General features: G+C 36.7%; 1 protein-coding gene across 1 annotated transcript in view, besides 1 other annotated feature; it reads right to left on the bottom strand.

The window, feature by feature from the left end:
- Nucleotides 7,497–8,264: an enhancer, noted in NCBI's record as "NANOG-H3K27ac hESC enhancer chr6:147150949-147151716 (GRCh37/hg19 assembly coordinates)". NCBI's record gives its function as "activates a minimal SCP1, AML or CMV promoter by ChIP-STARR-seq in naive H9 embryonic stem cells {active_cell/tissue: H9 hESC(naive)}" and the evidence as "EXISTENCE:reporter gene assay evidence [ECO:0000049][PMID:30033119]".
- ADGB (androglobin) overlaps nt 22,615–23,360 on the bottom strand; it is a 216,491-nt gene continuing 215,745 nt past the window's right edge. The window contains exon 36 of the mRNA NM_024694.4: nt 22,615–23,045. Within this exon, the coding sequence (NP_078970.3) occupies nt 22,860–23,045 (186 nt within the window). The 3' untranslated portion in view covers nt 22,615–22,859. The remainder of the gene's footprint in view (nt 23,046–23,360) is intronic.

The raw sequence follows: 23,360 nt of genomic DNA, 5'->3' as shown, positions 1-23,360 counted from the left end.
ATTGTGTTGTTAATTTAGGTTTCTATATGTTCACTGTTAGTGTATGGAAATGTAGTTAATTTTTGCATGTTAATCTTGTATCTTGTGACTTTTCTCAACTCATGCATTAGTTCTACAAGGTTTGGTTGGTAGATTTCTTGAGATTTCCTACATTAGTAATCATGTCATCTTCAAATAAAGATTTCCCTTCCTTCTTTCCTTCCTTCCTCCCTCCCGCCCTCCCTTCCTTCCTTCCTTCCTTTCTTCCTTCCTTCCTTTCTCTCTATCTCTTTCTTTCTTTCATGTGTTTTTTTATTTTTTATTGCAGTAGCTAGAACTTACAGTATGTAGAATAAAAGTAGTGAAAGCCAACATCAGTATTTGTTCCTGATCTTGGATAGAAAGCATTGTCTTTCACTATTGAGTATGACATTAGCTATAGGCTTTTTGGAGATATGTTTAGTCAAGTTGAACATTTTCCTCTATTTTTATGATTCTGAGAGTTTTTAACATAAATATGTGTTGAATATTGCTCATTGTTTTTTCTACATTGATTTATATGATCATGTAAATTTTCTTCTTGTATTCTGTTGATGTGGTGGATTACATTGATTTAAGAATGATGAATCAGCCTTGCATACCTGGAATAATTCCCATTTCATAATGGGGCTTAATTTTTTAATATACATTGTTGTGTTTTGTTTGCTACTATTTTGTAGAGGATTTTTTGTGTCTAAGTTCACGAGAGATATTGGTCTTTAGTTTTCCTTGGTTATACTGGCTATGTCTGGTTTTGATATCATCAATGGTTTCAGATCAAATGATTTGAGAAGCATTCCCTTATCTCTATTATCTGGAAGAGATCATGTAAAATCGTTGTTTATACTTTATTAAATGTTTGGAAGATTTCATCAGTGAAACCATCTGGGCCTGAGATCTCTTTCTTAGGAGCTTTTAAATTATGAGTTATATTTCATTTATCATCATAGGGCTATTTAGATGGCCAGTTTAATCTTGGTTGAGTTTGGTAGTTGCTGTCATCGAGGAATTAGTTCATTTATTCTAAGTTGTAAAATATGTGAGCATAAAAGTATTCATAATATTATCTTTTTCTTCTTTTTTCTTTGATGAGTCCAGGATCTACTTTATTCCTGTTGGTGATTGTGTCTCTTATTTTTGTCAGTCTTGCTAGAGATTTATCAATTTATTTTCTGAAGACCAACCTTGCTATTTAATTGATTTTATTATTTTTCTATTTTTAACTTTATTGATGTTTTTCTCTTATATTTATTATTTTTGTTTGTTCTGGGTTTTTTCTTCTTATAAGCTCTCTATATTATTTTATTTCAATGGAGATGTCCTCTTTGACCTATATATTATTTAATTATTTTAAACTGTGTTTAATTTTCATGTATTTACTTTCTGATTTTCTTTCTGTTACTGATTTGTACTTTGACTCCATTATTGTTAGAGAACACTCTTATAATTTCAAGTTTTTAAAATTTGTCAAGGCTTATTTTATAACCCAGAATATAATTTACCTTGGTGAAGTTTCATGGGCACTCAAAAAAAAATTTGTATTCTGCTGTTGATCAGTGCAGTGTTCTATATAGGTTTTATATTTCTAATCTAAAATCCCAAATCCAAAATGCTCTGCAATCCAAAACTTTTTGAGCACCAACATAATGCTCAAAAGAAATACTCATTGAAACATTTTAAATTTCAGTTTTTGTTTTTTTAATTGGGGTTGCTCAATCAGTAAGTATAATGCAGGTATTTTAAAAATCCAGAAATATCAAAATCTGAAACAGATCTTGTCCCAAGCATTTTGGATAAAGGGTACTCAACCTGTATGTGTCACTTAGATCCTATTGATAGACAGTGTTTTTAGGATATCCTATGTCCTTGCTAATTTTCTTCTTAGTTGTTCTATCAATTTCTGGGGGAGGCTATGGAAATCTAGTATGTTTGTGCTTATTTCTCCTTTCAGTTCTATCAATTTTTGTTTCATATGTGTTGAAACTCTGTTAGTTGGTACATATGCATTTAGGCTTGCTATGTCTTCCTAGTGGGTTAATCCCTTTATTATTATGTAATATCGCTCTTTGTCTCTAGTTTCTTTGCTATATTAATATAGCCTTTCATGCTATTTAAATATTAATATTTGCATGATTTTGCCCACTTTTACCTTTCTACCCATGTTGCTAAATTTAAAATAAGTTTCTTGTAATCACTACAGTTGAACTGTGCTTTTCTATCCACTTTGCCAATGTATCTTTTTTGATTGGTCTATTAGATAATTTACATTTAGTAATTATTGATATGTAAGCACTTAAGTCTGCCATTTTATTATTTACTTACTACTGGTTTGTTCTGGTTTTGTTTCTCTGTTTCTTTTGTCTTACTTTCCTGTGAGATACTTGAAGAGCTATTTTTAAGATGTTATCTTGATTTATTTTTAGAGTTTTTGAATGTGTATCTTTGTATAATTTGTTGTGGTTGCTCTAGATATATATATAGTATATATACACATATATAACATATATTTATATGTATACATATATATAGTGTATATATACATATATAGTATAATACACATATATATATATACACACCCATATATATATATATATATATATATATATATATATATATATATATAAAACAGTCTACTGGTATCAACATTTTACCACTTCGAGTGAAGTATAGAAGCCTCACTTCCATTTGAGTTCCTTTACATTTCCAAACTTTAAATATTATCATCTTGGATGCAAGATGCTGTGATAATTTGTAATTTTAATAAGTTTATAAAGCTCATTAGAAAAATGCTCTGTTATTCCTTCTTCCTTCCTGATGCTGCAAGATTACTTCTTTTATCCTTTTCTTTCTTTTTGAGAATTTCCTTTAACCACCATATCTCTGATAATGCTTTTAGTTTTCCTCCTCGTGAGAATGTTTTTATTTTCCTTCCATTTATGAAGGATAGTTTCACCACAATTCTGTGTTGACAGTTGTTTTATTTATTTATTTATTTTTCTTTCAGCATTTGAAAATATTATGCCACTTTCTTCCTGGCTTCTGTGGTTTCAGATGAGAAATCTATCATCCTTTAAGTGAGTGTTCCCATATAGATAATGTATCATTTCTCTCTGGCTGGTTTCGAGACATTTTCCTTATTTTTGCTATTCAAAACTTTAATTAGGTATTTTGCCATAGGTTTCTTTGAGTTTATGCTGTTTGGGATTCACTCAGCTTCTTGGATCCGTAGGTTTGTGTCTTGTGTCAGCCATTATTTCTTCAAACACTCTTTCAGCCCCACTTTTTCTCCTTTTCTTCTGGGACTCTGCTGACATGAATGATGGATTTTTTTGTTATCATCTTACAGGTCCCTGAGGCTTTGACGTTTTAAGGAATCTGTTTTCTTCCTATTGTTCACAATGGTTCTTGTTATAAGAGTGAATTTGATTATTCTGCTTCAAATTCATTGATTCTATACTTTGTCATCTCCACTCTACCAATGAGCTCTTCCATCAGATTATTTCTTTTTTTTTTTTTTTTTTTTTTTTTTTTTTTGAGACGGAGTCTCGCTCTGTCACCCAGGCTGGAGTGCAGTGGCGCTATCTCGGCTCACTGCAAGCTCCGCCTCCCGGGTTCACGCCATTCTCCTGCCTCAGCCTCCCGAGTAGCTGGAACTACAGGCGCCCACCACCGCGTCCGGCTAATTTTTTGCATTTTTAGTAGAGACGGGGTTTCACCATGTTAGCCAGGATGGTCTTGATCTCCTGACCTCGTGATCCGCCCGCCTTGGCCTCCCAAAGTGCTGGGATTACAGGCGTGAGCCACCGCGCCCGGCCAGATTATTTCTTTTATTGTATTTTCAGTTCTACGATTTCCATTTCTCTTTTTAATAACTCCTATTTTTTTCTGATATGTTCTACTTATAATTTGTTTCAAGAGAATTTATAATTGATATCTGAAGCATTTTTATGATAACTACTATAAAATCTTTGTGAGATAATTCCAACATCTGATTTATCTCAGTGTTGATATCAACTCCTTTTCTCATTCAAGTTGTGATTTTCTGGTTCTTGTTATGAAAGGTTATTTTAAATTTCATTCTAGACTTTCCCCCCTATTTTGTCAGGAAACACTGAGTCTTATTTTAATCTTTTATTTTAGAGGATTGTCTCACTGCTTAGTTTTAGCATACAGGTCTTTGCTTATTTTTGTAGGTTGTAGGTATAATGGCATTTTGATTGTCAGAGCCTTTGTGGTATTATTTTCATCCACCTGGTTTATCTGGTGCTTTGGGAGTTCACATTGGTTTCTACTGGTGCTGCCTAAGGGACAAAATAGGGTTTCTTTAGGCCAGCTGCTGGATGTCTCTTAATGGGAATGGGGCATGGTGGGATTCCCCTACCAGTGCCTTCTGCCTTCTCTATTATCTCTGGCCAGGGGAGAAGACTTTCCTGCTGCAGGCACAAAAAGACTTCCTATATAGGGCTACTTGCTATAAACTGAGTTCTTTGTTTCCCTGCCTGGTATCTGTATCTCTAGGTGGGAGAAGAATCTTGAGTTCATGGGGACAAATAGGCTTCCTTGACCAGGCACCAGCCATAGCTTGGTACCCTCTGCCAGCTCCGTTGACCTGCTCAGTACCTCTCAGTGGAAAAAGGGAGTCTCAGGACAGGCAGGGAACGTTAATGTTTCCATTGGCTGCCTGTTTATGGCAAGGCTGTCAATCAATCACCATTACCAGTGGTGTCTGTTCACCTGATGTTGTCAGAAGGACTCACATTCTAAGCAGGAGAAAACAAAACCTACCTTGGCTTCCTTCCTTTGCTATTTTGCTGGTCAGAAAACAATAGGTCTGGGTAGCATTTGTGTGTTGGGTGGGTGGCAGGGGGAAGGCAAGCCTCCGTGCTGCTGTGCTTTTCCCCCAGCCATGAGGTCTAAAATCAGCTCACCTTCTTACCACTTTTCAGAGTTCTACTTTGGTTTTCTGCTGCATCATTTCCAGAATTTACAACTGTGATTTGTGGGGAGGCTAAAAAATCAGATTGGAAGTCAGAGTCTATCAAATAGATTTTTGGAAAAGCAAATAGATAAATGTAAACCAAAAATAAAATTCTAAGCCCCCCAACTAATTGAATGGACTCCCCTTGGCCAAAGGAATGCCAAAGAAACCTGAAAAAACTAATTCAGGCTATGACAGGAAAGGGGGGCAGTTGGACACGCCTGTTATAACCTCTCCATTTGGAGTTTAGGCACAACAGGCCAGCATTAACAATAAAATAGAGATCATAAGACTGATAAAGTAGACTGTTTGTAGCAATAAGATACCGAAGTCCGACCTGACTGGTATAGCATCACAGGACACATAGGAGATCCTGAAGCAATTCAAAGTATTTTATCCCCAAATATATTTTCTTTTACATATTTTGATATGGCTCTGCAAAGTCATCTCTTGTAAGGAAAACTGTAGAGTATCTTCTTCCCTTTCTAGGTCTTTTCCTAATCCAGGACAGACTTAACTGAGAATCTAACACCTTTTATGGTCCAAGAAAAGACATTTACCATTGATTTTCTCTGAAGCCTACTACCTGAGGCTTCATCTACATAACAAAACCCTGGCTTCCACAACTCCCTTATCTTAATTCAGGCATTTCTTTCTGCTCTGACTTCAACTTCTTAGGCAAAACTTCACTCTTTCAACCAATTGCCAATCAGAAAATCTTTGAATCCACCTATGACTTGTAAGCTCCTTCACCCTTTAGATGTCCCAGTGACCCACTTTCCAGGCTGAACCAATATATACCTTTCATGAATTGACTTATGTCTTTACATGTAACTTCTGTTACCACTGTAAACCCACCACCTCTGTAACTCAACCAGTTGAGGCACATGTTCTCCAGACCTCTTGAAGCTGGGCTATGGGCCATGGTCACTCTTATTTGACTCAGAATAAACCTTTTCAAATATTTTAGGCTTTGGCTTTTTTCACCAAGGTAAGAAACTTGTTATTTAAATGTAAAAGGTGAACTGGTATATCAAGAGCCACACTTGACCCTTTATGCAGGATTGAACAGAAATTTTACTTGGAAAATGTGTGTTATATCCTCAATTAACCAATGTTCTTGTACTTTATTAAAGTGTTTTTTTTTTTCTTTTTTCCCTTTATCAAGAATAGAGTCTGGGCTAAATTCCAATTTTAAATAAGTATACTGAACTTCCAAATTCTCTTGGCAGTGTAAATCACATGCAGTTTTCTTCATGTTCTGTCTTTAACTTGTGGAACAGAACATTTGCGTACATTGAGATAGATGGTGAGTTCTACCAAAAGCTGCCTGGACAGAAAACACCTTTCAATTAATTATTCCACCAGATTTACAAGAACACCAAAGCCTGCAAAGTTGTATATTTGAGTAAGCACTCTATTTTTCTCCCTGATTGAAACACGCTTATTTTCTTGCCGTAGTGTTTGGATCTATTTAACACTTTTGTAAACATAAAGAGGTTTGTTTGCTAAACAACAAACAAAAATTCATGTTGACATTCACAAATGCAACATTTGGGTGGTGTACTAATTCGAGCCAATGAATCTTTACTCACCTCAGTTCTCTAACCTCCCACATGACAGTTCTACTCCAGAAAGAGAGAGTCCCCACCTTTACTTCTCAATTGAAACTTTCCAGCTAAATACCTGTGGAGGCCAAAGCAACTCTATTTTGGATGCTAATCTGTCATGTTGCCTTCTGTTTAATGACATTTCTGGGAAGGCCTTTAAGATTTCCAGTTTATCTATTATTCCTTGTGTAAGGGCATGTACTTACCTAAATGTACTGCCCTTACATCAAAACAACCTTGATGTTGTTGTACTTCAATTCTCCTACATATCCCTTCTGAATCACATATTCTTTCTCTATGGCAAATAAACTCTGAGTCGGGTGGGTAATGGTGCAGGAATCCACTATCTTGTCTTGCTGCCATCTGAGACACAGACATGGTTTCTGTTTGTAAATCCTTATTAAATGTTCTCTTCTGAGAAACTGGATATGTCAGTCTCTTTCTTCAGCTTCTTAGCTTCCTTGGACTTGGAGGTAGGTTTGCATAGACCTGCTCCCTGTAGAACATCTCTTTGCTCTTATTCCCTTCTTAAAACCTGCTGGCCTACAGCTCTGACATGATAAATTATTTTGTATTTACATATCATCCTATTTTTGTTCACAATATGAAATCTTGAAGCATAGGACTGGAAAGTATTCAAAATTCCCAAGATAACCAACTCAGTCTTTTCAAGGAGGACAAATTTAAACCAAAGAATTTACATTATATTTCAGGACCTTCAGAGAAATAAATTTCATAATATCTTTTGTAGATATGTAAACCAAAAAGTATCTGAGACAGATCTCAATTAATTTAGAAGTTTATTTTGCCAAAGTTAAGGATGTACCCATGACACAGACTCAAGAGATCCTGAGAACACGTGCCCAAGGTTGGGCTACAGCTTGGTTTTATATGTTTTAGAAAGACACAAGACATCAATCAATACATATAAGATGTATGTTGGTTTAGTCTGAGAAGGTGGAAGGACTCAAAGAGGGACTGGTTGATGGGCTTCCAGGTCATGGGTGAATTTGAAGATTTCCTGATTGGCCATTGGTTGAAAGGGTTTCTCTAAAGACCTGGAATCAGTAGAAGGGAGTGTCTGGGTTAAGATAAGAAATTGTGGAGATGGAGGCTTTTATTATGTAGATGAAGTCTCCAGGTAGCGGGCTTCAGGGAGAATTGATTGCAAATGTTTCTTATCAGACTTAAAAAGGTGCCAGACTCTTAGTTAATTCTCTTCTGGAAAAAGACCTGGAAAGGGAAGAAGATTCACTACAGAATTTAGATTTTCCCCACAAGAGGCAGCTTTGCAGGGCCATTTCAAAATATACCAAAGAAATATATTTTGGGGTAAAATACTTTGATTTCTTTTAGGGCCTGCTATCTGTCATGTTGGCATCTTATTGCTACAAAGAGTTGACTTTGTAAGTCTTAACATCTCTGTTTTAATGTTAATGCTAGTCAGCTGTGCCTGAATTCCAATGGGAGGAGAATATAATGAGGTATGTCTGATCCCCATATCCCCTCATGACCTGAACTAGCTTTTCAGGTTAAGTTAAGAATGACCCTGGCTGAGAGGAGGGTTCCATTTAATTGATTGGGGAGCTTAGAATTTTATTTTTGGTTTATAGATACATTCTAATATCAAATAGCTTTAATTATTTCCAAGTGAATTTCTCCAAGTAATTAAGCCATTCTTCAAAAAAAAAATTTCACTAGATGAAAATCTTTTATTGTTGTACTTCCTTATGCTATTTGAAAACTAAATTTCCAGAACAGCAGTATTTTATGGTTACATATTCTTTAAGAACCTGATGAGGGTTGGGCACTGTGGCTCATACCTGTAATCCCAGCACTTTGAGAGATCAAGGTGTGCAGACCACTTGACCCCAACTTGAGACCAGCCTGGGCAACATAGTGAAATCCTGTCTCTACACAAAATACAAACATTAGCCAGGAGTGGTGGTGGAGCACACCTGTGGCCCCAGATACTTAGTAGGCCAACGTGAGAGGATCACTTGAGCCTGGGAGGTTGAGGCTGCAGTGAGCCGAGATCATACCACTGCACTCCAGCCTGGGTGACAGAGTGAGACCCTGTCCCCCAACCCCTCTTAAAAAAGAACCTGATGAAAGCTATGAATTTCTATAAAAGAAAATAAGTACAATTGTGGGAGGTTTAGGTGCTACCTGAATCTCATCCAAAGATCCCAGGTTAAGAACCTTTGCTCTGGAGTATGGATGTTTTTTCTCAGAACTCTTGAGGTGTCTCTTTTAAGTTTCAAAATCTCTAATGTGGACCATTTTCAGGAAGTGGAAACCAAAGTTGGATTTGAGTGTGTCAATTTTGATTCTTTGGTTTTATATAACAGAAACAAACTCTGGTTAAACTTAAGAAAAAAAAGCCATTGGAAATATATTTGAGTAAATCATAGGTTTGGGAAAAAAAAAAACACAACAAAAAACAAAAAACACCCAAACCAGAAAGGATAGAAGTGATACTAATTTAATGGACAGCCTCCTTGAGATGCTGCTTATGACTCAGCTTCGGCTCTTTTGTTGCTGTTATCGAACAAAACTGGGGTCCACTTGCCAGGTGCAGTAAAACCAGATATCCACATAGAGGTTTTTGCAGAGACAGAAACGAAGGCATTATTATTTACAGGTACAAAGCAAGTAAGACCAGGCAGCTAATGCTCAAATTTTGACTTCCTTGATGGCTTGGCAGTAACAGTTTTTAAAGGCAGGGGAAAATTTCAGGAAAGCAGAAACTATAGGCCAAACCATAAATCAATATATGGAGGTTACACATTGGTTTTGGCCTAAAAGGGTGGGATATGTTGAAGGGGGGCTTATAGGTGGTAGGTACATTCAAAAACTTTCTGACTTCTAATTGTGAAGGAAGAGAGAAGCTTTGTTTAAAAATTTGGGGTCAGCAGAAAAAAAAAAGTGTTAACTAGCCTGGGTGTGTGACTCCCTCCAAACTCCTCAGGAAGAAATTTAGAACAAATTACAGTGGTCAGAGCTTAGTGTTCAATTCCTCCTTATCTAGGGTTTATGTGCCAGTGAATCCGTTTATGGGGATCTCGGTGGGAGGCTGGTTTTCTGAAAGACAACTATGGGACATATGTTAAAATGCTATATTTAGTTTCTATAGGAAACCAAACACATCTGGACCCAAACTTCCTTGGCTATTGTTTGAGGCTATTATTGCTGTTTTGCTAATCAGGTTACTTATTTACTTCTCAGGGCTAACTAGGTGCCTGGAATTTCCCTTGAAGGAATTCAAGATTTTCCGTCTTTTCTATGCTGGGGTGGCCTGTAGGGCCCTAAAATGGGACTCTCTACTCCATCTCATTTCTGCTACTAAAAAAACAGTGGAAGGGATGTGAAGTAGAAGGCAACCAAAAAAAAGTCTGTTAAAATAGTCACAGGCTTCTGAGAAGGTGACAATGGAAACCACTGCTTTCTGTTATTTTAACTGTCTTTGATATTTTTATTGTGGCCACAATTATTCTCCTACCTCTTATTACTTTATATCTACATACAACAGACCTATATGAATTATGAGAAACCAGGCTGCAAACACTGGTCAGCCTCCAAGGACATATTTTCAAACAGCCACTTCCAATGTAACCAGTGAGTATAACAGCAAGAAGACATTCTCAGAAGGTGGACCTGGGGGCATGGAGACCAACTGAATGGAGAGGAGCTGTTACAATACGGAATCAGACCTGATCAAGGCCTGTCACCACCTCCTGATGAGGCCTTCACAATGTCTACCCTGAGGGATTTCAGAACTGCTAAGTGCCGTCTCCCATTCCTCCCCTTTCTGAATGAAAGTGTTGTTTATTCCCAGGTCCAACATTCTATATTAGATACGTGTGGGGGAAGCAGGTAAAAAACAAGGGACACCATTGTGGCCAAAGGAACAGGTAAAAAATATAAAGTGTCATAAATTTGGAACCATCTCACTTTAACGGCATGACTATGAGCTTCCAGATCAGTGACTCCCTGTTTGCCTTAGTGGTGTATAAATTAGAATCCTATTTGGAAAATAAAGCTGTTTCTACTAGAATATGATCCATGACTTCTGTAAACATTGTAAAATATCATTGTTGACAATCTGCCATCTGGCATTATCACAGTCTCTTAAGAATGTGAATCTTTTTGTAAAGTCCTGTAAACTGTGTTTTTCAATATCTTCACTTGAAGACCAATATGATGGATTTTTGATAATGATCATAAGTTTTGATATAGCCCCTTTTAGACAGCAGCCTAATAGTTAAAACAATGCAAATACTTAATATATTCAACCATATTCTATCAAAAGCCTATTCTGTGAGGTTTTGGGCTAGGTTCTATGCGTGATTAAAAATAACCTAACAATGGCTGGGAGCAGTGGCTCACACCTGTAATCCCAGCACTTTGGGAGGCCGAGGCAGGCGGATCATGAGGTCAGGAGATCGAGACCATCCTGGCTAACAGATGAAATCCCGTCTCTGCTAAAAAAATACAAAAAAATTAGCCGGGCCTGGTGGCAAGCTCCTGTAGTCCCAGCTACTTGGGAGGTTGAGGCAGGAGAATGGCATGAACCCAGCAGGTGGAGCTTGCAGTGAGCTGAGATCACACCACTGCACTCCAGCCTGGGCAACAGAGCAAGACTCCGTCTCAAAAACAAAAAAAAGAAACCTAACAATTATGATATAGTTGTTTCTTACACTCGAGATTATAGCTCATTAAAATGAAATCTTTTACAAAGTATTATAAAAATGGTCTTTAGTGTGACAATCTAGTTAAACAATAATGACACAATTGAAAAAATAAAACTTATCAGTCAATATTGTGGCACCAAGAGTACTGAAGACTAAAGGCTACTGAAATCTGCAAATGACTTATGAGCAGCTCATTAGGAATGTGAACTTCTTTCAAGAAAGTGTGTATCATATCTGCAAATTACAAATTCAGCCCTTTGAATTTTCCCATGTTTTCTTCATCTTTGTCTTTATGGAACCAGAAATAACTAATGAGGTGACTTAAATGTTGATAAATGAAAAAGGAAAAGTAAACATAAAGAATCTGTATGATTCATAAATTGGAAATTAGTCTTTACATTCTAGTTGACTATTCTAAGAACTATTTTCATGGTATCTAATATTAATAATTTAATGACTTTAGATGATATGCTAAAGAAATGATGGTTCTTAGAAAAGCTTTAATATTATTTTCCAAAGGTTGTTTTGCACACATCATATTATAAAACATGCAGACTTTGGGCACAGGCTACGCCAGGAGTAACTGAGCTAAAAATTAGCTAAATTCATAGAGAAATATACAAATATTTCAGAGTTCCTTTAGAATAAATTCATAGCAACCATTTTGTATTATTAAGGTAATGGTTATTGATCAGGTTTTATCTAATATGGTTTTGGACATTTGCACAAGTTTAAACTTTCTGGTGAAAATAGCATGTTTTTCCAAGCTCTTTAAAATGTTATAGTGATGTTAACAAAGTTAGCCCGTTGTCACCAATGAGCCATAGTCATGACTTAAATTATTTAGTCATTTAAATATTAACTGATTAGTCTTTGTTATGTGACATATTTATTTAGAGTGTTTCCATGAAGTCAAACAGCTTTTTATGAGGTTTCTTTGTATCTGTCTGAATATATCAATCACCTACAATGGAATGAAAGATGCCCAGATGCTATCTGAATTGATGATTCTGAAATCAACAGCTTGATTAACAGTGACAGTAAAGAGTATCATTATGTTATATACCAGATGGAAAAGGTATTTACAGATTAGATAAGTGAATTTTCATAATTAGCAAAATAAATTAAAAATGCTTGGTTTATTTGAATTTAGAATTGTTTAAAGTTATGAAAATATACATATGCATAGTAGGGTTGTTTGTTATATAAGTTCACTTCAAAAATAAATCATACATGTGGTAATGCTGCCATCTGTGCCTGACCAAAAAAGTAAAAAACAAGGATGTTTAGCTTAAAGTTCTAAGCACATTCAATAGGTAATGAAGCTATTCCATAAAAACACATCTGTGGTTGGAAACTGTTTTATGTAAATTAAAATGACTAAAATCTGTTTTATAATTGATTAGACAAAATACTTTATGACAATTTGAAACAAAGTTTCTTCATAATGTTACTTTCAGAGATATTCTATAAAGGTTACTGAAAGCTTTTATTAATCTGGTATAAATAAACCCACCCAGGGCAGGGCCCAAGCCAGGGGATGGAGGTGGCAAGACGCGTGTGAAACTGTCTTTGCAAAATTATAACAGTAAGAGAAGTCTAACACAACTGACTCCACCTTGCTTCTAACCTCAAGCTACCTGCCTTTTCTCATTCCTGTATGTAGGCCAAGCCAACTATGGGAGGAATTCAGCATAATTCCTGTCCCAAAACTACCCGCCTCCTTGTTTGGGGACTGAAAGTGACTATATCAGACTAATGAAAGACCACAGGTTACAATTATGTTGGGGGCTTGAACTGTGCTAAGATATAGGCATAGTTAAACAATAGCTGGTCATTGTTTCCTAGCTTGCTTTTTTATAATTGCTTACTGCTCAGGATTCTTGTACCCAATGCTCACAAATTTTATAACTTCACCAATTGCTCTTACAGGTAACTTGTGAAACTTGAGACTGGTCTTTCAAATATTTTTCAGACTTTGCATTCTGGTAGACCAACTGATGCCACCCAGACCCATGACCCATGCCAAAGAACTGATTCAACTGGTTCTGTGACTCCCACCCATGAAGTCACTCAGGACATGAAGACAGTTTTGACACTCCTGTGATTTCATCCCTGACCAAATCGCAGTTCCCATTCCTTAGCACCCCACACACACCAAATCATCCTAAAAAACCCTCACCTCCAAATTCATGGGGAGGCAGATTTGAGAGATATTGCCCATCCTCCCCACTCAGCGGCCCTGCAATTATTAAAATTATTTCTTTGCTGCAACATCTACTGTCTCAGTGTATTGGTGTTTTCCATGCAGTGGGCAAGAAGAACCTCACTGGGCCATAACATGGATTTTGTTTCTCTTTGCCAATTCTCTCTTTATTTCCCTGTTTTTCAAGGGGAAATGAATGCAAGAGTTTGTTTTGAATAAGACAGAAATACAAGATAAATGTCAGTTAACAGATCAGAGTTTACACACATATTTTTTTGTGTGCAAACAAACTAAATATAATGAGAGGCTCTAGGACTAGAATTCAATGTTTTGTTTGAAAACTTGATGTCTAGAAGCCAGTTAAAAGTTTATTAAAGCTATCAGCCGTTTTTAGATTCATTTAAATGAAGACAGTTACATTTCCAAAAACACTTTAGTGGGCACTTTGATTGTGGAAAAGGGGAAGCTACAATCTATTTTTTAGTGGAGTTGTTGGATGCGATGAGGAGTTAAATTACTCCATATAATGGTGCTTCATTATCACCAGAATTGTGCCTCAGGGATTATTTCTATCATCTCAAAGGCAAGCCTATGTCTTCAGAACAAGAACACTGTTTTCTCTGCCCTTATACCAGCCCAGAGAAGGGACAGCTTGATCTTGAAGTACTTGAAGGGCTGAAAAGAGGTAGGTTGTAGGAGGCTAAAGAGAAAGAAACTGAATGGGGGGCCAGATATTTTGCCAAAGACAATGGCCTATGGATTGTAGGAACTGTACATGCTTTATAGACATACCCTGGTTTACTCAATATGATTGCACATGTGTATATTGGCAATGTATTCCAATAGTCATTTATTAACTGTGATCCATAGACATTACTATCTCAGCTTCTCAGCACTCTACTATTCTTCTACATGGGAATAATGTTCTCCATGGAGACAGTGCCTCTTCTAGGGAATATTTAGGAAATACATGGGGACATTTGTGGTTGTCCCAATAATAAGAGAGAACTGCTATTTAGTAGTTGAAGACCAAGACTATTAGACATCCTGTCATTTTGAATTTTAATAATTGCAGGGCCGCTGAGTGGGGAGGATGGGCAATATCTCTCAAATCTGCCTCCCCATGAATTTGGAGGTTAGGGTTTTTAAGGATGATTTGGTGTTTGGGGGGCTAAGGAATGGGAACTGCTGATTGATTTGGTCAGGGATGAAATCACAGGGGTGTTAAAACTGTCTTCAAAATGCATTTTGAGTCACATGGAACAGAGAATTGTTTTACCTTCTATTTGATTTGAATGGCCCACCATTCGTATAGTTGAAAAGCAAGTTAGTAATCAAAGAATCTAATTCTGTGAGACATATAAAGTCAAAGTATTTTTTTTGTACAATTTTAATGTTCATTGAATATTTCAGAAATAAAATCATTGCATTGTTGGGGGTCAGAAAATGATACCCCATAATATGGCACCTTAACATACTGAACTGAAGAAGCCACAAGATCTCTCTGAGCTTCATTCTCCCACTACGAAGTACTCCCCAACCTGCACTCATCTCTCAATCCTGTGTCTCTAATTAAATGTTAGTTAATTAAATATTAAGTTTTTAATTAGAATATTATTCCATTAACATTTAAATTTAATCTTATGTTTAACATATAGATTGATGTGTTTTGTCAGTTAACTACTTTTTGATGACTTTACAGCTTCATAATTGTCTCCTCAACTACTACAATCTGCTATTAAACTTAATTATTGAGTTATTAAATCCAGTAATACTTTGTTTTAACTTTTCCATTGATCATTTTATCATGTAAACTTTTTATTGAAAGATACATAAACACAGATATGTAAATAAATTTTAAGTTTACTGATCCATAAATATTTACAAAGAAGGCCAGGCGCTCACACCTGTAATCCCAGCACTTTGGGAGGCCGAGGTGGGCAGATCACTTGAGGTCAGGAGTTCAAGACCAGCCTGGCCAACATGGCGAAACCTTGTCTCTACTAAAAATACAAAAATTAGCTGGGTGTGGTGGTGCGCACCTGTGATTTCAGCTACTCGGGAGTCTGAGGCATGAGAATCACTTGAACCTGGGAGATGGAGGTTGCAGTGACCCGAGATCATGCCATTGCACTCCAGCCCATGAGACAGAGTGAAACTTCATCTCAAAAAATTAAAAAAAAAAAATTTTTTTTTTTTTTTACAAAGTAAACTACCTGTGTTACAGTCATTCATATCAGTATTGAGATTATTATCAGCATCTAGAATGGCCTGTAATGACAATTCCTGATACCATTTACTCCTTAAATTTAACCATTATTATGACTTTTAACACCACAGATCAGCTTTCCTAGGTGTTGAAATCTAAATGCATAAAATATTTATTAAAATCATCCATGGTATGGAGAATAGCAGAGATTCCTTTATTCTGATTATTGCATAGTATTTAGTCATATAAAAACACCATGATTTGTTGATGTGCTCATTGTACAATGAATGGAAATTTGAGTTTTCCCCAATTTTGGACTATTATAAATTGTGCTGCCATGAATATTCTTGTACATGTCTCTGCTGGAGCTGCAAGTCATTTTGTGATGATGAAGGAAAGGCAATATTACCACAGAGATATTTGCTCTAGATTTTGAGATGCTAACTTTTTATTAAGTTAGATAAATATCCTTCTATTTAATTGAGCAAAAGTAAGTGACTTTTTTTTTGCCCAGGCTGGAGTGCAATGGCATGATCTCAGCTCACCACAACCTCTGCTTCCCGGGTTCAAGCAATTCTCCTGCCTCAGCCTCCTGAGTAGCTGGGATTACAGGCATGCGCCACACACGCCCAGCTAATTTTGTATTTTTAGTAGAGACGGGGTTTCTTCATGTTGGTCAGGCTGGTCTCCAACTCCCAACCACCCACCTTGGCCTCCCAAAGTGCTGGGATTACAGGCATGAGACACCTGGCTGTAACTGACCTTTTTATTACTTTTAGCTTAATATATTTTTAAATGATAGCACAGTTGAAAGGATAAAGATTATTCAAAAACAAAAAAATAAGAAAAAGTATTGTTGAATTCTGCAACATACCTCTCAGAACTAGACAAATGAAGTGGATTAAAACTAAAAAAAAGAGAGTAAATAATGAATATATTTGACTAAAATAAACTTGAAAAACATTGTATATAATTTTCCATAAAACTACATACACGGTTAAATTTTGGAAATGAGGCTTTTCTAAAATTAAAATTTGCATTCTTTTCAAGCAATTCTTATTGCATATATATATGCAAAGTTTACGATCATCCTACACATTTATGTCATTTAAACCTCTACTTAGTTACATAGAAAGTCTTAATAAATTTTTTAGAAGTAAAAATTCTAGGGACCGTGTAGTCTGATTATAAGCAAATAAAATTATAAATAAGTAACACACTTCTAGTGGCAGGATAATGATGTGTCATATTTTTGCTTTTCCCCAAAACTACTCCTGAAAACTATAAATACAATTGTGATGGCAAAGCAAGTACACACACACCCCCCACAAAAAACAAAACTCAGATAAATTGCTAGCAAAATTAGATGACAAGAAATTCCCATAAACAAGAGTGGTATTGAGAGTGGCAGGAGGCAGCCAAATGCCTAGGCAGATAGGGGCGGGCCCCTGGTGAAACCCCACCTCGAAGCCAAAGACAGTTTAAAGCCTGAAAGCCAAGCTACAGGTTAAATCCTCCATGCTTTCCTCTGATTGATCCCCACCCTTCACCTATTTTACATATACCTACCCTTTCCTAATTGGTTTTCTACACTGTCATGCCCACATTTGAGTGATGTCTTCGCTTTAATCTTTTTTGCATACTCACAAACCAATCAGCACACACTCTCCATTCTGAGTCCATAAGAGGCCCCAGAGCCAGCAACAGGGGAGGGATTTTCCTGCCCTCAGATAGGGGAACCACCCCTATATCCCCTCTCCGCTAAAACCTGTTTCATCGTTCAATAAAATTCTTTTCCACCCTCCTCACACTTCAATGTACAGTGCATCTTCATTCTTCTTGGGCGCAGTAGAAGATCTTGGGAACCACAGAACACAAGTACAAGCTATAACACAGGTGAGCTGGGGCACAGTATCATCCCCGAGAGCGGCCCAGGTAGGGCATCACTGGCTGGGGGTCCCTGGCTTGCAAAGCGACCGAGAAAAAGAAAATCCTGCCTCTGTAGTTGTGGCCCAAATAAAGACAATCAGCAGGATTATCTGAGCATTTAGACCTGTATGGTTGGCACAGGTGAAAACACAAAAACCACCAACGGACCCTAATATCCATGAAATTCCACTTGAAACTCTAAGAAATATCCAGAAGAACTTGCCTTAAAGTAGGAGAACACCGTTTGAAGAAGTAAGCAAACTGAGAAAAATGCTGGCGAAAGGGGAGAAAGAATGCTGAGACCAAAGGGTCACGGATTCAGATTACCGCAAGAGAAAAAATATCTAAAGATAGAACTGTCTTGAAAACCAAGGTCCACAGAAATCTAGGAAACAGAGGCTTAGAGGCAAAAAACTCAAAATCTGTCATAAAGCAGAATTTTCTCTGACAGACAGAGAAATGGGAAATCAGGCCATATTTTGATGATTACAACTCTAAAGGAAAATAAAAATCTCAGATCCCCCAAACTCATTACGCCAAAGGGAAAGATAAGCCTGGAGAGCCTGGAGGCTGAGTCATGCAACACTGCCATTCTTTTCCCAAATGAATAGCTTGTTCTTCACAACCTTGTGTCAAAGCATTGTACATTTGTCAGACCCCACAGAAAGGCAAAAAGCTTCACTGTCCAAGCTGTTCCTAGGTGAGTTCTTTGCTGGCCTGGAAACCTTTCAAAAATGTGTACGTTCCCATAAAACAAGGGCATGTCAATTACAACTTTAGATCTGCAATCCAAGTCTAGTACCGAAAACTAAAGTCTGTTAGAATTCACACTGACAATGTCGATAACAAGTTTGTCTTCCCAGGTGCAGAACATACAAGAAGGGATCAATCATTCCTCCACCTAACCTGAGATGTCTGCATGGTTGATTCTTCCTTTACTCCCTTGTTCTTGGAATGTTCACCTTATCTGATATAAAATGTGCATTTCATGGGCACTGATTAAAATCTCACAAAAATGTAACCATTTGCCTCACCACGTACCTGCCTCTTCCTACATGCCTTCCCCCCTTTAAAGAAATGTATAAACATTGAACTTCCTGAAAACCCCTTCAGAGAACACAAGCACAGATGTTTCTGTGACTCGTGTTTTTTTGTTTTTTTTTTTTTTTGGGCACCCCCTCAAGCTTAACAAATCTCGAGACATTGATGAAACTCTTGCCTCAGTCTCTCATTGTGGGGCATCCTCCATCCATAAAGCTGGGAGAGTTCCTTTAGATTCTTTGTCATTTATATGAACCTGCTTCTAATAGTTTATAAAACTCAATCTCTTAAATAATGGGGGAAAATCTGTTATTAAAGATGAGATAAAATGAAACAAATAATAGAAAATGAAAACATCCCAGAGAAGTATGCTTTGATCAGAAGAAAAATGTAACATAATGATTCAAAATAAGCTACAAAAAAACTATCAGAGCTTTGGAAAAATAGCAAAAATCAGAAATAGAAAAAGCTTAAAGAGTAATAGTTTAAAAAACACAGCAGGCTGGGCACGGTGGCTCACATCTGTAATCCCAGCACTTTGGGAGGCCAAGGCAGGCGGATCATGAGGTCAGGAGTTCGAGATCAGCCTGACCAACATGGTGAAACCCTGTCTCTAAAAAAAAAAAAAAAAAAAAAAATTAGCCAGGCGTGGTGGCACACACCTGTAATCCCAGCTACTCAGGAGGCTGAGGCAGGAAAATCACTTGAACCTGGGAGGTGGAGGTTGCAGTGAGCTGAGATCACACCATTGCACTCCAGCCTGGGAGACAGAGGGAGACCCCATCTCAAAAAAAAAAAAAAAAAAAAAAAAAGGCACAGCAAGAAAAGTAAAAGAAAGCAAGTGAAAACTATCAAACAAATAATAGCAAAAAATATCTGAAAGAAAGTAATTGATCAAAAATACATCATTTAAATTATAATGACAAATTGTTTGCAGATGAATTTTTATCTAACTTAAAGAATATATAATATTAATGTTAGTACTTGAATATCCTGAATATATATATACACACACTACCTGAATATATATATACACACAGACACATATATGTATATATAAAATTCATAAATTTATGAATAAATTATGGTATATTTGTACCATGGAATATTTCATAACAATTAAAAAGAATTAACAGTGACTTCAAGAGATTCTGTGTTGTTTGGTGAGAAAAAGCAAGACACATTGTATTATGCTTTAAAGAATGCCATTTTGTAAAACAAACCAGGATATAATATAAAATATTGAGGTGTGAGCATATGAGATGAATGAAAAATATGGAAACATTCAAAATAGGTTGTTTCTATGTATGTACTTTGGGAGCTGGGGTCATAAGGTTGTGAAGCTAAGAGTAGGCAAAGAATAATGTAAAAATGCACATTTGCATTTATTAAGTAACATTACATATACAACTGGGGAGGTGTATAAAATATTAACTTTTTCATGTAAACTTAAAAAATTTTTTGAAAAATAAACATTGTATATTTTCAAAGTATACCACATGATGGTTTGATATATGTATACACTGAATAATGATTAATATATTCAATTTAATTACTACTATTGATTCTGATGGCACCATCCGTTCTGTGCCTGAGATACACAATTTGTCAGCTTATAACTAAATGTTTGTACTCTTTGACCAACATCTCCCCATTTCTCTCACCCCTAAGTCTCTGGTAACCACTGTCCTACACTTTGCTTCTATGAGTTCAACTTTCACAATTCCACATGTGAGTGAGATTATGCATTATTTTTCTTTCAGTTTCTGGCATATTTCACTTAGCATAATGCCCTACAGGTTCATCTATGTTGTTGCAAATGGCAGGATTTCCTTCTATTTTATGGTTCAATTATATTCCATTATATATATATATACCACATTTTCATTATTCATTCATCAATTGATGGACACTTAGGCTGTTTCCATATCACTATTGTAAATAATGCTGCCATGAACAGAGGGTTGCAGACCTCTCATAGACATACTGATTTCGTTTCCTTTAATATATACCCAGGAGTGGGATTGCTAGATCATATGGTAGCTCTAGTTTTAATTTTTTGAGAAACTTCCATACTGTTTTCTGTAATGGCTATTGCAATTTACATTCTCACCACAGTGTGTACAGGGTTCCCTTTCTCCACACCCTCCCCAACACTTATCTCTTGTCTTTATAAAAGCCATCTTAACAGGTGTGAGGTGATACCTCATTGTTGTTTTGATTTGCATTTCTCTAATGGTTAATGATGCTGAGTACCTTTGCATATACCTGTTGGTCATTCCTGTGTCTTCTTTGGATTGGTGTTTATTCAAGTCCTTTGCCCATTTTAAAACCAGGTTATTTGCTTTTTTTGCTATTGAGTTACATGAGTTTAATATATTTTAAATATTAGCCCCTTATCAGATATACAGTTTACAAGTATTTTCTCCCATTCTATAGATTGTCTTTTCATTTTGTTGTTTCCTTTGTCGCGCAGTAGCTTTTTATTTTTATGTAGTCCTACTTGTTTATGTTTGCTTTTGTTCCCTGTGCTTTTGGTGTCATCTCCAAAAGAAATTGCCAAGACCAATGTCAAGGAGATTTTTTTGTAGGCAATCTTCTAAGAGTTTTATGAGTTCCAATGTTACATTTAAATCTTTAATCTATTTAATTTTTTTATACAGCATAGGGCAATGTTCCTATTTTATTCTTTTGCATGTGGATATTTAGTTTTTCCAACATCATTTTTGAAACGATTTTCTTTCATCATGTGTATTTTTGGCATCCTTGTCCAAAATTAGTCGACCATATATGGGAGTATTAAATATTTTTAAGCTAGGCATGGTGGTTTATGCCTGTAATTCCAGCATTTTGGGAAGCAAGCTGACATGGATGGATCTCTTGAACTCAGGAGTTTGAGAACAACCTGGGAAACATGGCGAAACCCTGTCTCTACAGAAATTGGCCGGGTGCCATGGCTCCAGCCTGTAATCCCAGCATTTTAGGAGGCCGAGGTGGGTGGATCACCTGAGGTCAGGCGTTCAATACCAGCCTGGTCGACCTAGTGAAACCCCCGTCTCTACTAAAAATACAAAATTAGCCAGGCGTGGTAGCCACACCCCTAATCCCAGCTACTCAGGAGTCTGAGGCAAGAGAATCACTTGAACTCAGGAGGTGGAGGTTGCAGTGAGCTGAGATTGCGCCATTGCACTCCCGCCTAGGCAACAAGTGTTAGGAAAAAGCTGAGTGTTGGGACAAAAACTGAGGCAGGGCTTGCATGTCTGACATAATGTCCTCTGGAATGTGTCTAGACTTGCTGGCTCCTTGCTTCTAGCCCTCCTAGGCTCCTATTCCCATTATCTCAAGTAGCAGAACATGTTCCACATAAATGCTAAACCGTCACAGCTGTAGATGATGCGCCTGCCCTTTTGACCTCCACATTCTCACCACCTGTTTCTTTGTTGATTACCAATAAATAGCGTGGGCTCCCACAGCTCGAGGCCTTCGCGGCCTCCACGATCGCAATGGCCACTTGGTCCCAGCTTTCTCTCTCAAACTGTCTTTTTCTCAATCCTTTGACTCCGCTGGACTTTGTCACCCCCACGACCTGGTGTTGGGTATGATCACCCCAATAACAAAAGTGAAACTCCATCTCCAAAGAAAAAAATTAGGAGGATGGCTTGAGTCCAGGAGGTGGAGGTTGCAGTGAGCTGAGATTATACCACTGCACTGCAGTTGGGCAACAGAGTGAGACTCAGTCTTAAAAAAAAAAAAAAAAAAAAAAAAGGCATAATTCTGAAGCATAGTTATTAGTATTTTTAAACCTTTAAAGTTTAAGACTAAATTTCTTCTAAGAACAAAAGCCACTTTTCTCATTGCTGAAATTTTCAAAGATAATCATGTTGCTTAATTTATGAACTTGTTTCACTTCTAATTAAAAATGCAGGCAGTTTAGAGTGTCAAACATATTTTATTAAATATTTGGAAGCTATTTTATTGAAATTAGAGCATCTTAAACTCAAATGGCTTCAAATACTAGCTTTCTGAGGAAAACTAACAAGTTAGCATTAAAATATTTCTAAGAAAGAGAAATTTCTATTTTCATTTGGCCTAATATCTTAACAGCAGGCAGTTAAAGATCATTACAAATAGATTTTTTCTCTCCAGAAGCAGGGTAGTATTGGACATCCCCTGGTTACTTTTTCTTTCCTTTCTTTTTTTTCTGTGTGTCAGGAGCTGGGGTCATCTTTTCTGTCTCCAGCTTCATGGCTGCTTCCTGAGCAGCCAGAGTTTCCAGCTTTAGGTGCTCAGCTTCCAGCAATTTGTTTCTGTACTCTTCCCGGATGTCGAAAATTTTCTGTCGGGCTTCATCTAAGGAGTCCTGTTCCAAAGCAAAACCCCAAACAAATAAGTTCCACTGGTAAAGGCTTATGTTCCCAGAAAGAAAAAAATGAAATTCCTTTACCCTGTCCTTACGCCCACACATTCATAGGCAAAATGATTGAAGATGAAAATTAGTGTATGGTCTCAACAGCTTATCAGTACACAAAACATAGCGACAAAATCATGAGATTTTAACACAGTATGGCAAAATAAAAACATTTGTAGAAAAAATAGTCAAAACATACTTTTTTTTCCCCAAAGGTATTCTGTTTAAATGATTTCAAATACAATTTATGAGTTATTAATAAGCCCA

This window comes from Homo sapiens, chromosome 6 (genome assembly GCF_000001405.40).
Source record: "Homo sapiens chromosome 6, GRCh38.p14 Primary Assembly".
In the NCBI taxonomy this organism is placed as follows: Eukaryota; Metazoa; Chordata; class Mammalia; order Primates; family Hominidae; genus Homo; species Homo sapiens.
Note: the sequence above shows the minus strand (reverse complement) of the source record. Positions and strands in the feature narration are given on the sequence as shown.